Source organism: Homo sapiens, chromosome 15 (genome assembly GCF_000001405.40).
Source record: "Homo sapiens chromosome 15, GRCh38.p14 Primary Assembly".
In the NCBI taxonomy this organism is placed as follows: domain Eukaryota; kingdom Metazoa; phylum Chordata; class Mammalia; order Primates; family Hominidae; genus Homo; species Homo sapiens.
The window spans coordinates 77012220-77028334 of NC_000015.10; the positions used below are offsets into that span (position 1 = coordinate 77012220).

Sequence of the window (16115 nt, forward strand, 5' to 3'; positions counted from 1 at the left end):
TCTGTCCATCCATCCATCCACCCACTCATCCATCTACCTACCCATCCACTCATCCACCCATCCACCCACCCATCTACCCATCCATGCATCCACCCACTCACCCATCCCTCCATTTGTCCACCTGTCCACCAGTCCACCCATCCACCCACCCACCTATCCACCCATCCATCCATCCACCCACCCACCCATCTACCCATCCACCCATCCATCCACCCACCCATCTACCCATCCACCCATCCATCCACCCACCCATCTACCCATCCACCCATCCATCCACCCACCCATCCATCCATCCTTCCATCCATCCATTCATCCATCCATCCATCCATCAAGTTGTACCTGAGTGTTTGGTCCTTTGCCTGCCTCACTTTGCCAACCAGTAATGGTGGAGAGGAGTCCCACTGTGGGGTACTGACTGTAGGGCGGTGGAAGGAGCCTGGTTGCTACCCATTGACTTAGCATCCCTGTGCCTCTGTTTCCGTATCTATACAATGGGGATGATAATTCCTGTCTCAGAGGACTGTTGTAAGAAGTAGAGGGGACCAGTGTGACTGGCTTCTTTAAAGGTGCTGGGTAATGGGTCATTGAATCTGCAAGCAAATGATCTGGTCCCCTCCATGGGGCACCTCAGGAAGCAGCCGTCATAAGGCCTTGTCCTCTTGAAGGCCTCACTGAGGCGCTTCTCCAGCCCATCACTCAGCATGTCTGTGAGCAGAGCTGTGTGTAGGCACCAGGTGCCGGGATCCAGTGGGGAACCTGAAAGACCCCCCTCTGCCTCCATGGAGCTCAGCCCTTCCTACCTCAGGTTTTCAGTCCACAGAAGACAAGCAACAGGAAACTAGGTGCTAGCAAACCCACAGTGTCAGCCACACTGGCTGCAGATGTCACTGCTGGTGTGAGGGAGGAGAGCACCCCAGCACCATGCAGCTCCGTGCAGCTACCTTCCAAAGCTGCTGCTACGTCTTGCTTCCCCACCTGTGGCCCATGCTGGAGCTTTCCCAGTCATCTTCAGGTGTAACCCAATCCAGTCCAAGCTAGTATCACAATTTCACTCTCATTCAATTTAAAGCTCCCCAGTTCCCCGACTTTCACTGGAAGCCTCTGATGGGGAAAAGAGAACAGGGTCAGTTTCCTCCCTTGCCATGGGGTACCCACACTGCACTGCCAGCTGCCTCTGGGGTCTCCATGGGGGGGTGGTGGGGCACAGGCCGTGACTGTAAAGGGGAGAAACATCTCATTGCCCTGGTACTGTTGTAACTGGTGACAGTGAATGCACACAGGTCAGCCCTTTCTCTCCCTGGCACCTGGGCAGGTTTTTTGGTGACCCTGCCCCCCTGGAGTCCCTGACCACTCCGTTCCCTACAGCCTTCCACTTCCAACCTCTCCCGTTGCACCCAATAGTCTGCTCCACTCAGCTTCTCCTAGGGGCTCCTCTCTCCCTGTCAGGCTATTCTCATGGACAGAATTACCAGGCAGCTCTTCCTGGCTACCTTCCACGGCCCCCACTTGGTTCCCAGGGAAGATTTTGGTGCCAGTTCTTGGACATAGCAGGTAGGAACTCGGACCAAAACCCAGGTGTCCCCCTCCAAGGTTGGAGGCTTAGCTGTCCTCTGATAGATGCTGTATTCTGGAGTGCCAGGCAAGGGAGCATTTGAAAAAGGCTCTGCTCCCCTTTAAATGGAACCTCTGGTGGAGGAAGGTGTGTAGGGCGAGAGGGGAGGTGATGAGGTGACTCATTTCTTCCAGCCTGGCCCCAGCTGAGGGAAGGTGTTTCTGGTCGGGGAGGTGGCAGGCAGGCGGGGAGGGCTCGGGGAGCTGCTGCTTGCTGAACTGCCCCTGGGTGACAGGCCCTGAGTGTGGGGCTTTGCAGAGAGGCAAAGTAATGGGAAGTTAACAGCCAAGATCGTGGCTTGGGATATCTGGGTTATATCCCAGCTGCACCCGGCAGGTCCCTGGGCAGATTGGGTAACCTCTCTGGGTTACCTTTTCCTCATCCATAAAATGGTAGTCATCACCCCTAGCCCAGTATCTGCCTTGTGGTGAGCCCTGATCTTGAGTCCACTGTTCTCACCTATGCGCACGATTTCACTTGCTTCTCGGGTCACCTCTAGGCGGTGAGAACTATTAGGCCCATTTTCACAGGGAAGGAAACAGGCTGAGAAGGGCCAGGGTCACGGGAGGTGTGAACCCACATCTAGTCAGTCAGACCCTTCCCAGCCTCTCAAACAGGCCCGAGTACCCTCTCTGACCTGTGGCCTACACTAACAGGACTGTGCCCTAGAGGGGCGGGCTGTCAGGGCCCGAAAGGGGGTTAGCCTCCTGCCCCCACTTTCCCAATGAGGAAACCAGGTCCTGAGAAGTAAAGTGGCTTGCTTCAGGCCCTGGTGTCTGTGGTCTCGCCCCTGCAGCCACCAAGAGTTATGGGCGTGAAAAGGGGGAAGTGGCGGTAGTTACAGAGGGTGCTTCTCCACTCAAGCCGTGGGGGTGTGGAGGGCCCTGGCCGGCTCACAGGCCTGGGCCGTGGCTCACACCAACACCCACCAGAGAATGAAGCCAGTAGGCTGTCCCTGACAGAACAGGGCACCCAGGCCTTGGCCACACTGCCTCAAGGCAGAGGCAGGAATATGTTTCCTCCCAAGAGCCTCCTCCTGGAGTTCTGGGATGCCGCCTGAGGCCGATGGCCACACACCATGGACGGCGAGGGCTGGGTCCCACATCTGGCTCAAGTGAGCCTCCCAGAGGAAGAGACTGTGCCCGCTCCCCACCTGGCACCCCTAATCCAGGACGGGTTATCCTGGGTGCCACATGGCTGGGCCGTGACCACTGGCTGTTCATGGGTTACCCAGAGCCGCACTCCTCTGACCCAGCCTGGGCCCCAGGCTAGCCTCTGTGAATCCACAGTAACTGAATTATAGCCCAAAATACAGCTTTGATTTGAGGTGGAGATAATTTGAGTAATCATTTTCAAGAGTTATTTTTTCAAATCATGTTTGGATGTTCCAAAATAGAAAATGGTTCCTGGGCTGTCTACTAAATGGCTGATGTAGGTATATGGCTTTGGGGACAGGTTGACCTGCATTCAGATCCCAAACTCTGCCCTTTACCCATTGAGTGGCTTTGGGCAGTCTCTTTCCCTGTTTGGGCCTCCTGTCCCCATCTTCGCCTCCCGAGATCTGTGTTGTGGTCAGGAAGATAACGCTATGATACCCTTGGTGCAGTGTGTGCCAGGTAGACTTGATAAATAGAGATTTCACAAAGGGCAGGGCCACAGGCAGCATTCGGATGACAGAGGTTGGACAGGATGAGGGGAGATGGAGGTAAGAGGAGTGGGGGACAACTAGGGTAGGTCCCCTGGGGGTGATGCTGATGCTGGGTCTTGGGTGGCAGACCCACATGACTGATTAAGTTACAGGATGATTGGTTCATTCATTTCCTAAACACATCCTGAGCCTGACTGTCCCAGCTCAGAGCACGGAGTCAGACCCATGCCCTCGAGGAAGTGGCAGGGGTGGGGGTGAAGGAGGAGGGCGCGGGCTGGGGGAAGGGGTGCAGGGCTGGGAGGCATCGTGAGCAGCCCCTGGAGAGTCAGGCACTTCCTCGGAACATCCCAGTCCTTGTGACAGTAGCTCACTCGGCCACAGCCCCTGCCAGCAGCCCAAAGCTCTGAGCGGGGGACTGGGCGGGATCCTGGAGCCTGCAGCCTCTGGGGACTTGAGCACGGCGGTCACAGCCTGCAGGGCCTCTCGCTGCTTTCTGACTCCTCCCGAATGGCCAGCGTAGGTTCGGTTTGCTTCTCTTTCCACTCTGGGGGCCTCCATAAGGACAGGAGAAGGGTTCCCTTGGCGTCAGGGCTGGGTGTGGGGCTGGGCTCCAGGTGGCCTCTCCAGAGGTATCAGGAAGGAATGACAGGTCCCCTGAGAGTCCGGATTCTTGTCCTGACTCTGCAGCGTCAAGCAAGCCATTTCCTTCTCTGGCCTCAGTTTCCTGAGGAGTGAGGGAAGCCGCACAAGGTGGTTCCCAGTTCTCAGGGCGGGGGGGTCTGTGGCATTCTGACATGAATGCTGGTGTCCCTCCGGGCAGGTGCAGGAGGCTGAGGCCCCAGATTTGTTTTTCTTCCCAGCCGCCAGGAGCTCTGACCTGAGGGTCTGGAGTGAGGGCAGAGGCTGAGGGGTGGGAAGGGGAGGGCTGCTGGCTGCAAGCAGCTGCCCACCAAAACCACAGAAATGGAAGCCTGGTCCAAGCTAACCCAGTGATGTCAACCTGGACATGGGGGTGGGCGCCTGCCTCTGAGGCTGGGGGGACAGCTTCTGGCCTTCCAGGCTAGACACGCTGCTTGTTGCTCTGTGGACAGCTGAGCCTGGACCAGGCCCTCCTCAGGAATTTCTAGGGATGCTTATGGAGGGGGTAGGAGCTTGGGGTCCTAAGTGTCCTACAGGCCAGGAGAGTCCACCTGCTGAGGGTGGGCTGGAGTTTGTGGGGAGGGGGGGCACTGTTGGGGCAATTTATGCCATTGCTACCCCTACTTCAGATTCTTCTTAGACCTTGGAGAATACCTTCTCCTTCCAGCACCTGACTCAAATGCCTCTTCCTGCAGAGAGCTCTCCTGGATTTCGACTCCATCCCTGTTCCCCTCACACCCCTAAGGTGGCATTTGAGGGGAGACATGGGTCAGGGGAAGGAGTACCAGGCTTTACCTGAGTCATGTGTGTGCGACCCTGGAGTGTGCGTGACCTTGGAGACTGTAATGTGTGTGGTCAGGGGAGCTGGGACTTCTTCCTCCAGTCTCTGAGGCTTTAGGGGTCCTCAGGGATAGAAAGGAAGACAGACTAGGTGCGGAATGTCAGGCCTGCCTTGGTGCAGTTGGTGACAAAAATCCTGTCTCCCCAGCACCTCTCAAGCTCCCCTGGAGTAAGCCTGCGTGCAGTGCCTGGGAGAGCTCAGGGGGTTGTGGCGGGGATCCTGGCCCCGGGACCCACTCCCCAAGCCTGGGAATGTCCTGGGAGACCTCTGTTCCTTCATAGTCCTTAAAGACTACCTCCCTCCCCCAACTTCTCACACCCAGCTTCCCACACCAGCAGCTCAGACACACACCTGGAATCCACTGCACAGTGAGAAAGGAGAATTGGGTTGGCCAGGAACAACAGCCAGGGCAAGCAGGGCAAGTGCCAGGCAGCAGAGGGTAGCTGTCCCTGGAGAGTTCTCTGAGGCTCCCCACCCCACCCCAGTCCAGAGGTGAATGTAGGGTGTGCTTGCGCATGCTCTGACCTGGACTGAAGTCACCCTCCATGCCCACCTCCCTGGATCTCCGTGAGGGGGGGTTTCCTGAGCCCACAGAGAGCCCAGCGCAGCATCTGGCACATGGCTGGTGCCCAAGAAACCGCAATTGCTGTGATGGTCATGGAGACTGCACAGTGCTGAGGTGAAGGGCAGGGACCCCAGCCAGACAGCCTGGGGTTCAAGGCCAGGCCAGCCACTTTCCAGCTGGGCCGCTCTGGATACGATCACATGTCACCCTCCTACACCTCGGTTTCCCCACTTAGCTGAGATAGGGATATTGGAAGGGTGGCACTGTGAGTGAGTGAATTTCAGGCCTGGCTGTCATCAGGGGGACTTAAGGGTGGCTCTTCCCATCTGCTATCTCATGCTGATGTGTGTCCTGTCCTGTGAGCTCTCCAGATGCCAGGCCCGGCACCCCCGGCCCTGTCAGCTGGGTGGGGCTCACTTATGTACCTGTCACCTCTGCAGATGTGAGGGGACCTCCTGTGTGCCTGTGTAAAGCCAGGTCTGGAGTCCCAAGAGCTTGCCCTGAGCAGGGGAGATGGAGGCAGGAGGGAGGCTGTTCCCAGAGATGGTGGGAGGGTCCCCACAGGGCTGTGCTCAGTGTCGCCTGGTCGTGGCCCTCATGTGTCCTTCTGTCCTGTGTCACAGTGCAGGGACTTCACAGCCCACACGGGCTACGAGGTGCTGCTGCAGCGGCTTCTGGATGGCAGGAAGATGTGCAAAGACATGGAGGAGCTACTGAGGCAGAGGTGAGCTGCTGGGCAGGCCATGGGGAGCGCAGGCAGGAAGCAGGTGGCTTCCGCTCGGCTCCTGGGACAGTGGACGAGGCCCCCATCCCAGCCAAACTCTGTCAGAACACGCCCTGCTTTAAAAAACTCTTCTGTGTTCCCTCAAACCTGGGCCTCCCCCAGAGGTGGCAAGTCACTGATGATCTTTCAAATGCCCTTTTTTTTGCAGGGCCCAGGCGGAGGAGCGGTACGGGAAGGAGCTGGTGCAGATCGCACGGAAGGCAGGTGGCCAGACGGAGATCAAGTAAGATCTCCCGGGCCCTGGGGCTCACTCCTCTCCTCTGCTGGCAGTTTCTGGGCCTTTAGATGAGGTTTAGGTCTTCCTGGCATGGGGGAGGCTGGGCAGAACCAGGGTAGGTCTGGATTGCTCCTTGGTGCCTGGTTATTGGGCATTCAGGGTGAGGCCAGGTTCTGTGAGGGAGGAAGCCCGAGGGTCTGAGTTCTGGAAAGGGTCTGGGCAGGGGAGACAGGAGGCCATCCATCCTCAGTCATTTGCAGCGCAGTCTGCACCAGCCTGGGTGGCCTCCACTGAAGTCCTGAGGGGCAGGTGACAGGCGTCTCCACTGGTGGCTCAAGTCCCCTGCAGCACTGGCTCAGCATGGGCTTCAAGGATGGAGATGTAGCCAGAGACAGGGGTCCAGGAGGGGACACACCTGGGTTCCGGTGTCAGCTCCTCACCCCCCAGCTGTCTGACCATGGGCTGGCTGCTGACACACTCTGTGGCTCCGTTTCCTCATCAGTGATGGGAAAGTAACGCAGCCCTCCTCAAAGGAAGAAGTGGGCCCATGGGCTTAGCTGAGGCCTGGTTAGAGGGCAGGCCGTCAGGGAAGTGGCTCTGATGAAGCGGGAGTCTCCAGCCCCACAGGTCTCTGCACGCAGACTGCTGGGGTGGGAGGCCAGGTGAGGAGATGAAGGTGAGTTCAGGACACAGCCACCCTAACAGTGGAGTGGAGGGGCTGCTCTGGGAAGGCCCAGACTGTCCCCCTGGGTGAGGACAGAGCCAGGCCAAGGGGCAGACAGACCACCGGCCTCCAACTTCTTGAAAGGGCTCTGCAGAGTCCTCCTGCCGAGGGGCCCTGAGCCTGACCCTGCAGCTGCTGTGGAACCCCTTCCCTTCCTGCCTTCTCCCCCGAGAGAGGAACTGAATGTGCCATACTCTGAAGGTCCCCCAAAGACACCAGGCACCCTGGCGGCTCCTGCTTCCAACCAGGAGCCAGAGATCACAGGAAGGCTTAGATGTGGCATGAGCCGTGTGTGAGGCCAGAAAGTTGCACACAGCCCTGGGAGGACGGAGGGCTCTGAGGAGCCCTTGGAGCTCTGGTCCCGGCTCGGCCAATCTGAGCTGTGGGACTGTGGGCCAGTCGCCTAGCCTCTCCAAGTTTGTTTCTCACCTCCCACTCCAGCGAGCTGCCGTGCAAATCAACAAGAACATGGTCTGAGGGCCTCCCAAGGGAAGGGCTGAGGGCCGGGTGCAGGCTGGGCACAGAGGAGGGCTCAGGACATGGTGAGGAGTGAATGGACGTATGCAGGGAGGTGTTTTCTGCAGGAAGCAGTGCCCAGAGCTCTCAGCCAGGGGAGGAGCAGCTGTGGGGGCCTGGCAGCATGACCAGGGGAGCCCCTCCTGGTCTCCTGGCCTCCCAGCCTCCAGGCCAGCTGGAAGAGAACTTTCCCAGAAAGAGAGGGTACCTCATGGGGAGAACTCAGAGACTCAGGAGAGGTGGAGAGGGTGGCCCCAGCAGGGCACAATGGGAGCCAGGCTGGAGTGGGTCTGTGTGATGCAGGCTCAGGGGATTGTGAGTCACAGGGGATTTACAGCAGGGAAAGAGAAGCTACCCACAGAAAATACAATGGGGGTGGGGAGCAGGGTGGGCCTCAGGAAGCAGGAGGTACGCAACATCTTGCTCCATTTGTAGAACTAGGAAGGGGCCAGGTGGAGGCTCTGGGCGGCCCTGATTGCGCCATGGTTATTCAAGGCCAGGTGGGGCAGGGTCTGCCCTGACTTATCCTTTGTGTGGCCCTGGATGGTCCTCCCTGTCTCTGAGTCCAGGGTCTGTACCTATGGAAGGGGATGGTCACTTGGAGAGGTGTTCTGGGCAGTCACAAGGACAAGCAGAGAGTGCCAAGCCACAGGGGTTCACTGCACACAGTGGGGCTCCATAGTGTTGCTCTTGACCCATGTGGCATGAAGTACTGTTGATGAGGCCATGCAGCTGTTCCTTTCGGTGTAGGCCAAGCATCCATCCTCCATCCATTTAGTCACCATTTAATTGAGGACCTACTATGTGCCATGCCCTGGATGGGTCAGGAGGATTCACTAATTTAAAATAAAATAAAGGGCTTTGCCATTCCTTAGCCAGAGTCCAGCACAGTGAGGGTGACTTCCTTCTCCTTCCTAGTCCTTTGCATTAGGGCCCATTTATGCGCCACCTCCTCCAGGAAGCCCTCCCAGACACCTTGCCTTGCCTTACTGTCAGAGTCTTGGCTTAGACCCAATTACCCCTCCCCATGCCAACCTGAAGGGCTTTTGGTGGGGAAGTGTGAGCAGTGGCCGTGGACCTGTTTCCTCATCTTAGACTCCTGTGGGGGGGGGGGGTGTGTGTGTTGGCCCTCAGGAAAGGTGACCCGGCTCTTCAACATCGGGGCTGGTGGCCCACCCTCCAGGGCCCATCCCTGAGTAGGGGAAGCCCCTGGCCTCCCTGAGGCCCACAGCTGCCCCCCAGGTCTATGGGATGCTCATTCCCTGCCCCTTGCAGAACGGGCAGGGGACTGGGGGATGGGAAGGCTAGGAACAGGGTGCAGAACGAGGACAAAAGCCAGGTGGTTAAGTGACCCTATAAATAGCCTAGTGAGCCCTGAGGGCAGAACTGCTGCCTGAAGGTACTGCATTTCTGCAGTCCCCTGACCTCAAACCAGCCGGGAGCCACCCTCAGGCCTGGAGGCTCGGGCCACTGAAATTAACAGGAGGTTACATCTTAAGTGATTTTTGACATGTACCTCCTTCACATGTTAACTCAGCAAACATCCGTGGGGCAGTGGCAATGGAGGATGGACAAGTAAGACCCAGTCCCCAAACTCCAGGGATCCCCACCAGCGCTTTCAGTGCATTTTAAAGACAGCATTAGGGCCAGGCGCCGTGCCTCACGCCTATAATCCCATCACTTTGGGAGGCTGACCTGAGGTCAGGAGTTCGAGACCAGCCTGGCCAACATGGTGAAACCCCGTCTCTATCAACAATATAAAAATTAGTTGGGCATGGTGACGCGAGCCTGCAGTCCCAGCTACTCAGGAGGCTGAAGCAGGAGAATCACTTGAACCTGGGAGACGGAGGTTGCAGTGAGCCCAGATTGCACCACTGCACTCCAGCCTGGGCTGCAGAGCGAGACTCCATCTTAAAAAAAAAGATAGTGTTAGTATTTGCAGGGGGCTTACCAACATTGCTGACATCACATGTCCAGCCCTGCAGAGACTTTGCCTGACTCTCCTTTCCAGCCTCTGGGCCTTTGCTCCTGCTGTTGCCCTGTTGCTCCCCTGCCCAGTCCCACCCATCCCTCAAGGCCTGCCTGAAATGTCACCTCCCTCAGAAAGCTGTCACCTCCACTCCCCTATTGCTCATCCTGCGTCAGGTAAGGTGCTGGGGGTGCTGCATGCCCCCAGAAGCTGCACAGGGCAGGGGTTTGGGAAACAAAGGAAAACCAAGGCAAGGCCAGCTTCCTGTAGCCCCTCTGTGGTTACCAGTGGGCAGGTACAGCCCCCAAGGGGTGCAAGTTTGAATCCTCACGTCCCTGCCTCACCCCCAGTTGTCACAAACCAAAAATGCTGTGGTTTTCCTGTCAGAGAGATTTTTAAAATTTTTTTCATGGTCTCTCTTCCTCTGAACTCAGAGAGAATGACGACATTGCTGAGGATATTGGCGGGAGAGAGCCAGGCCCTGTTCCTGTCAGATGTCCCCTGACGCTGGCTCATCGTGGGCACAGCCTCAGCACAGGGAGCCGAGAGGGCTACTCCTGTCAGCTGGTGGGCAGGCAGCAGGGACACAGTGGGGTCAGAGCAGGAAACACACTGGAAATCTGGACTGTATTTGAGCACAGAATTTCAGACTGAGCTTCCTGAGAGCCGAGTCAAAAAGGGCAATGGGATGAGTTACACATGAAGGCACTGGTGACAGATGGCAGTAGGCAGAGGCCTGTGCAGGACCCTGTCTTCAACATGCGATGGAGACACAGTAGAGGTGCTCAGGGAGATCTTGACAGTTTCCCTGCACAGACGGTGGGAGGAAGCAGGAATTTCATGGGGCAGAGAATGACTTTATGTGGCCCCCAGATCCTCCCCAAGATCAGAGCTCAAGGCTGTTCACTTTGGGGGTTCTGGGGCAAAGCTGGGCTCCTCCTCTCATCCACAGAGCTGAGGCTGCCTCCTTGAAATTTCATCTGGGGCCAAGAAAGGGAGGAGTGTTCTGGGCCTTGTTGTGTGAGCTGAACTAGGGTGGCCTGATGGTTCCAGCAACGGGGACAGGGGACCTGGGGCAGGAAGGCCTGCAGCCCAGGGGACAGGAAGAGGGGCCTGGAGGGGCCAAAGCCTGCCTGCCCAGGTACCCCAGACAGAGGTAGCACCAGTATCTATGCAGTACCCAAGGCCTAGCCAGGTCATGGGGACAAATGGGAGTTCAAGGTGAGCACAGACCATCACTGTCAAGACTGTCCCAGGGGTGGGACAGAGGCTGAATGTCCACCTGGCAGTGCTGTACGTTCAGGCAGGCTCCCAGCTTTCAGGTGGGGGCTGGGAAAAGGGCCAGCAGCTCCCAGAACCTGCGATTCCTTACAGCACCCCTCAGCCTGAGACCATGAACCGGGGTGGCCCACAGGTGGGTTTGGGGTTGAGAAAATTTAGATTATGAGCCTGGGGACAATGAGGAGGAGAGCCAGGCATTGCCCCTGTCCTCAAGGGCTCATGGTTCAGCTGCGTGACAGACATCCGCTGGGCCAGCCCAAAGTGACATCAGTGCTCAGAAAGGACAAAAGAGGATGCCAGGCAAAGATGCAGCAATGGAGATGGGCACGTGCAAAGGCCCTGAGGCAAGATGGAGCCTGGCACCTGGAAGCAACGGGCGGAGGGGCAGAGAGCAGGGCTGACAGGTGGGAGGTGGAGGTGGTGCGGCAGGGGCTGCAGCGGTGGTGGCAGCTAGCGTAGGACAGTCACGAGATTTAGGAGATAAAATAGAAGGTGGCGGCAAGGAAGGGAGAGGACAGAGCCTGGTGTGACTCCTGGGTTTCTGGTGTGTATAGCTGGTGGACAGTGGTGTCTTTGCCAAGAGGGGAGCCCTGGAAGAGGAGAGGTTTGCAGGGCAGGTGCTGAGTCCGGTTTTGGACACGCTGAATTTGAGGTATCTGTCAGATATGAGACCCAAAAGGTGAGGGCGGGGAAGTGGATGTGCAGGCCCTGAGCTCTGGGAGGGGTCTGGGTATGCTGTGGTCATGAAGGAGGCGGGGCTGGAGGGTGGTGTGCGTAAGGGCTGGGTTGGGGGTGCGGGGACCACGCTGTGCCTGGAGGCCTCTAACTGAATGAGTGGGACTGAGCTGAGGGGTGAACTGACAGGAAGCAGAGGGATTGGAGGTGCCACTGCTGGTGAGGAGTCAGAGAAGAGTCCTGAGCCCCACAAGGGAAGGTGGGGTCACCACACAGCCACCCCTCTCCTTCTTCCTCTCCCTGGTTCCGCCTCTTACCGCAGGGTGGCCACGGGCGCAGCTCCTTCACTCCTCTGACCCTTGGCTTCTCATCTGTGAAATGGGATAATAAAGGCACCTGTGCTGGCAGAGTTGTGAGCAGTTCTGACGTCTGGATGGGCATCAGCAGCGCTTGGGGCCGGGCCCCACCCCGAAGCCTCAGCCTCAGGAGGTCGGGGAGGAGCCTGAGAATCTGTATTTCTAACAGGCTCCGCGGATGCTGATGCCGCTGGTCTGTGGACCTCACTTTGGGATCCACGAGTTTAGGGCGAGGGGCCTGGCCCCCACCGATCTCCCCCAGGCCTGGATCCCCAGGCTCCTGCCAGGCTACTGCTCCTCCTTGGCCTCTGCTTCCCCAGGTGTCTACTGAGAGGAGAAGCCCCCTGAGAAGCCTGCCTGGTGCGCTGCCCCCTCCACCCAGGGCTGTCCGGTGGGCGTCATGAGGCCATATGGCCGCCAGGGGGCAGCCGAGCTGCTCCACAGAGAGGCTGCAGGGAGAGCCAGATAAAATACTGGATGCCCAGGTGAACGTGAATTTCAGATAAACAACAAATACTTTAAAAATAAAAGTCCGTTTTAAATACTACAAGGGGCATACTATACTCAAAAAGTGCTCGTTCATCTGAGATTCACATTGCACTGGGTGTCCTGTTTTTATGTGTTCATTCTGGCAGCCCCCGCCCATCATTCCCTGCCTCCTATGCGCAGTGCTGGGCCCTTCCCTCCCTCCCTCCCTCCCTCCCTCCCTGGCAGACAGTGCCCACCTCTCAACTCCTGCGCCCTGCCCTGCTAGCCTCTCCCACGGCCATCCAACCTCCTCCAAACATCCCCCGGGCCACCTGCTGAGAGCCCATCTGAACACTGTCCCCTCCCCTGTAGCCTCACCCTGGGGCCATTTGGTACCTGCCGAGGAGAGAGGGCTGTGAATGTGGGAGAGGAGTTCAGGGGAGGGAGGGAGGGTCCTGAAGACAATCCCCTCTTCTCTAAGAATGCAGCTAGGAGCACAGATGGTGGGGGCCTTCGGTACCTCCTCCTTCTGCCACATTGCAGAGGGTTGATTGCTTTAATTTGCAGAGAGCTTTGTCTTCCAGAAATCAGTCTGGGGCCCCAGTGGATGGTCACCATCTGGCTAAAGGGTCCCTTGGTTCTAGAGTGACCCAGGGTCTTCCCACCAAAATAAAAGTCCTCCCCACTGCCCACCCCGCCGGGAGGCAGCCTGGACTGTAGGTTCCCGCTGTGCTCTCCTCCTCCTGACCTGGACCCATCTGTTTTGCAGCTCCCTGAGGGCCTCCTTTGACTCCTTGAAGCAGCGTAAGTCCCCTACCCTGGGGCAATGGGATCTTTTGGGACTGCGAGGCTGGTGGAGGGTTTGGGGGGACAGAAGATGAGGTGTTGGGGCTGGGGCTGGGCTGGCCCACACGGGTGAGTTGTGGGTGGCTGAGGCCCATCAGATCTGACACTGGGGACCAGTATCCATGCTCTGCCCCCAGAAATGGAGAATGTGGGCAGCTCACACATCCAGCTGGCCCTGACCCTGCGTGAGGAGCTGCGGAGTCTCGAGGAGTTTCGTGAGAGGCAGAAGGAGCAGAGGAAGAAGGTGAGGCAGGTGCAGGGGGCGGGGGAGCTGCTCCCCCATTGCCAGCCTCTCAGTTGCTGTGGGGGTAGGGGGCTGACCTTCCTGGTAGAGCCAGTGGAGGGCGGCAGGGGTGGTGGTGGGACAGCACTCCAGGCTTTGGGGCTTGAGGGTGATCTGAAGTGGGTAGGGAGGGCAGAGGCCTGGCCGCTGGCACTAAGGCCAACTCTTAGTCCCAGAGCCCCATGGAAGGTCCTTCCTGTCGAGCTGCCTCACGCCTAGGAGGATCCTACTACAGCAGACTCTAGAGGGTCTGTGGCAACTTGGCAGTGTCCAGAGGAGGCAGTCTGAGTTGTGGGGGTCACTGGAAACTGGTCTTGAGTCCAAGGATCAGGGCTGATTGTCCTGGAAAAAGGCAGACTTGCAGCCAGTCACCCCACAGGACTGCCCAAGGCTGAGGGGTCAGACACAGACTGGGGTGGGAGAGTTGTATGGCATTGCTTAGCATCCAAAGGTACTTCTCACCCATATGTAGGGCATGGCTGTCCCGAGACAGAGTGACTGCATGGAAGTGAAGTCCCCATCATGGGAGGTGTGTAAGCAGAGGCTGGCAGATGCTTGTCAGGGAGGCTGCAGGGCTGAAGTTGGATATAGGTTCCCTGGAGGGCAGGCAGGACGCAGACTGGCCTGGAGGCTGGGCTTGGGCCTGTGAGGATGGGGGCTGAGCCTCTCAGGGCCTTAGTGATGAGGGTGGTGCCCTGCACAGGGTGGCAGGGCAGCACACAGATCCGCTTCTTGCCTGGGGAGGAAGGATCGTTGTGAAGTGGCCAAAGAATTGAAAATGAAAAGTCACAACTGAGCCTTGAAGGGGAAGAAGCTGTACCTGAGGCTGGGGCCAGGCTAGGCCTGGGTGTCCTGGCCATACCACTTCCCATCTCTGTGCCTCAGTTTCCCTCTCACAGGATGGGACACATATGTCTACCTCCCAAGTGCTGGGAGCTCAGCCCAAGCCATGCGCCCCTCAGTCTCCACAGACAGGGCTCCAGCTCTGGTTAGCAGCTCTGCTGGCAGAAATGTAGCGTGGCTGCCCGTGCCACCTGCCCATCTGCCAGCTGGGCTTTCAGGATTCTAAATGTGGGGTTCTGAGCAGACAGGGGGTCCCCAGAAGCCAGCCCAGGCTTGAGGTGCCGGAGCAGGCACCCTCTCTGAGCTGGGACGTGCCCGCAGAGCCTGCAGAGAACCTGCCAGGAAGGAGGGACCCCGGCCCTGCTATTTTGGGCCCTCCTGTGGCCAGAGGAGCTGCACTGGCTGCAAAGGCTGTTTTGGACAGAGCATTCTTTCTCCAAGTGGCCAGGGCCCCGCAGGCAGAGCGCTGTGTTGTAGTGTGTGCCATGTGTGTCTGAGCCTGTGTGTGTATGTGCGTGTGCCACAGAGCAAGGACATGTGCTTACAGGATGGTGCACACGTGCCTACGCTCCCCTGCATATGCCTGTGAGCATGTGTCCTTGTCCAGCCCTGTGCACTTGGGTGTTTTGTGCTGTGTGTGTGTGAGTGCCTGTGCCTCGCTGGTCTCCCAGCTGGCACAGAACCCCTCCCCTGAGACCCCAGGCACAAACTGGCTCAGTTCTCCTCCTACCTCATAACCCAGTCGCTGTCCTGGCTGTTTTGCCTTCTCTATCAGAACAGGAAGCCTGGGAGGTGAGGGGAGGCTTTGGCCCCAGACCTCGGCACAGGGGCCCAGTGGCCACTGTGCCTGCATGTGGCCTGTGGTTGTGTGTGGGTGACTGTGGGAGTGTGTACTTGTGAGTGGCATCTGTGGGTGTGCACAGGAATGCCTGTGATCATGCGTGTGGGCAGCTAGGGATGGGGCCTGTGTGCCTCCGAGTTAATGTGGAACTCTGCATGTATGTGTGTGCCAGAGTGTACACACACGTGTGAGCGACTGTGATGCCTGCAGAGGCTCAGGGATGCAGGATGAACGACTGTGTGCGCACGTGTGTTGGGGTGGGAACTCCCCAGCTGGAGACGAAGCTCTGGCCAAGGTCTGCAGCAAGGACCTCACGGCACACCCATGCCCTGTGATTCTCTGTGGCCTTCCATTGTGAGGGTCACTGTGAAGCAGCAGGCTCTGGGGGAGGGAGGGCAGCCTGTCACCCTCTCTCCAGAGCCAGGAGAGGTGCTGCGCCTCATCCCAGGGACACTCCGTCCTCTTGGCCTAGGGGAGCCTCCCGAGGCCGCGGCCCTCGGCTCAGAACCTCGTGTCCCCTGCAGTATGAGGCCGTCATGGACCGGGTCCAGAAGAGCAAGCTGTCGCTCTACAAGAAGGCCATGGAGGTGAGCGCCAGGGCCTGGGGCCGCGGCCTTCCCTCGAGGAGCAGCGCAGGTCTCAGGGTGCGATCCTGGGCTGTGGCCCCGGGCAGGGCATTTGGAACAGGCTGACCTCAGCCTTGGTCCTCGGACCTCGGCCTTGGGCGCACCAGCCTGCGGGGCGCTTGGGCCCGTGCTGGGCGCTATGGCCCCGTGGGGATGGTCCCGGGCCCTTCCCTTGTGGGGCTCGTGAATGAAGGGCAGATGAAGTCAGCTGGGGACTCCAGGGGTGGAGGGAGGAGGGACCCCTGAGCTTGATCCTGCGAGACGCTGGACAGGAAGGGAGAGGGGCTCCTAAGAGGGCGCGGCGTGGCGAGGGGCGTGGCGAGGGGCGTGCCCTCGCCGAAGAGCACAGCCCAGGAGGCGGGGCCCGGGGCAGGCCGCGCT

The 16115-nt window shown here is 58.6% G+C and overlaps 1 protein-coding gene across 18 annotated transcripts in view, besides 6 other annotated features; it reads left to right on the forward strand.

The window, feature by feature from the left end:
- PSTPIP1 (proline-serine-threonine phosphatase interacting protein 1) overlaps nucleotides 1-16115 on the forward strand; it is a 42796-nt gene that overhangs the window by 17540 nt on the left and 9141 nt on the right. For 8 of the 18 annotated variants that reach the window (XM_011522168.4, XM_011522163.3, XM_047433276.1 and 5 more), the window contains exons 2-7: nucleotides 5929-6029; nucleotides 6238-6312; nucleotides 13065-13099; nucleotides 13279-13385; nucleotides 13897-13953; nucleotides 15633-15695. In XM_011522168.4, coding sequence (XP_011520470.1) covers nucleotides 5929-6029; nucleotides 6238-6312; nucleotides 13065-13099; nucleotides 13279-13385; nucleotides 13897-13953; nucleotides 15633-15695 — 438 coding nt within the window. Of the gene's footprint in view, nucleotides 1-5928; nucleotides 6030-6237; nucleotides 6313-12147; nucleotides 12313-13064; nucleotides 13100-13278; nucleotides 13386-13896; nucleotides 13954-15580; nucleotides 15696-16115 lie in introns of those variants that run through there. The other 10 variants (NR_135552.2, NM_001321137.1, NM_001321136.2 and 7 more) reach the window with 4 other exon arrangements.
- Nucleotides 2070-2570: an enhancer, noted in NCBI's record as "H3K4me1 hESC enhancer chr15:77306630-77307130 (GRCh37/hg19 assembly coordinates)". NCBI's record gives its function as "activates a minimal SCP1, AML or CMV promoter by ChIP-STARR-seq in naive H9 embryonic stem cells {active_cell/tissue: H9 hESC(naive)}" and the evidence as "EXISTENCE:reporter gene assay evidence [ECO:0000049][PMID:30033119]".
- Nucleotides 2070-2597: a biological region, named in NCBI's record as "H3K4me1 hESC enhancer GRCh37_chr15:77306630-77307130".
- Nucleotides 2528-2597: an enhancer, noted in NCBI's record as "active region_9886". NCBI's record gives its function as "activates an Ori minimal core promoter by ATAC-STARR-seq in GM12878 lymphoblastoid cells {active_cell/tissue: GM12878}" and the evidence as "EXISTENCE:reporter gene assay evidence [ECO:0000049][PMID:35858748]".
- Nucleotides 6880-7452: an enhancer, noted in NCBI's record as "H3K4me1 hESC enhancer chr15:77311440-77312012 (GRCh37/hg19 assembly coordinates)". NCBI's record gives its function as "activates a minimal SCP1, AML or CMV promoter by ChIP-STARR-seq in primed H9 embryonic stem cells {active_cell/tissue: H9 hESC(primed)}" and the evidence as "EXISTENCE:reporter gene assay evidence [ECO:0000049][PMID:30033119]".
- Nucleotides 7642-7771: an enhancer, noted in NCBI's record as "active region_9887". NCBI's record gives its function as "activates an Ori minimal core promoter by ATAC-STARR-seq in GM12878 lymphoblastoid cells {active_cell/tissue: GM12878}" and the evidence as "EXISTENCE:reporter gene assay evidence [ECO:0000049][PMID:35858748]".
- Nucleotides 9898-9947: an enhancer, noted in NCBI's record as "active region_9888". NCBI's record gives its function as "activates an Ori minimal core promoter by ATAC-STARR-seq in GM12878 lymphoblastoid cells {active_cell/tissue: GM12878}" and the evidence as "EXISTENCE:reporter gene assay evidence [ECO:0000049][PMID:35858748]".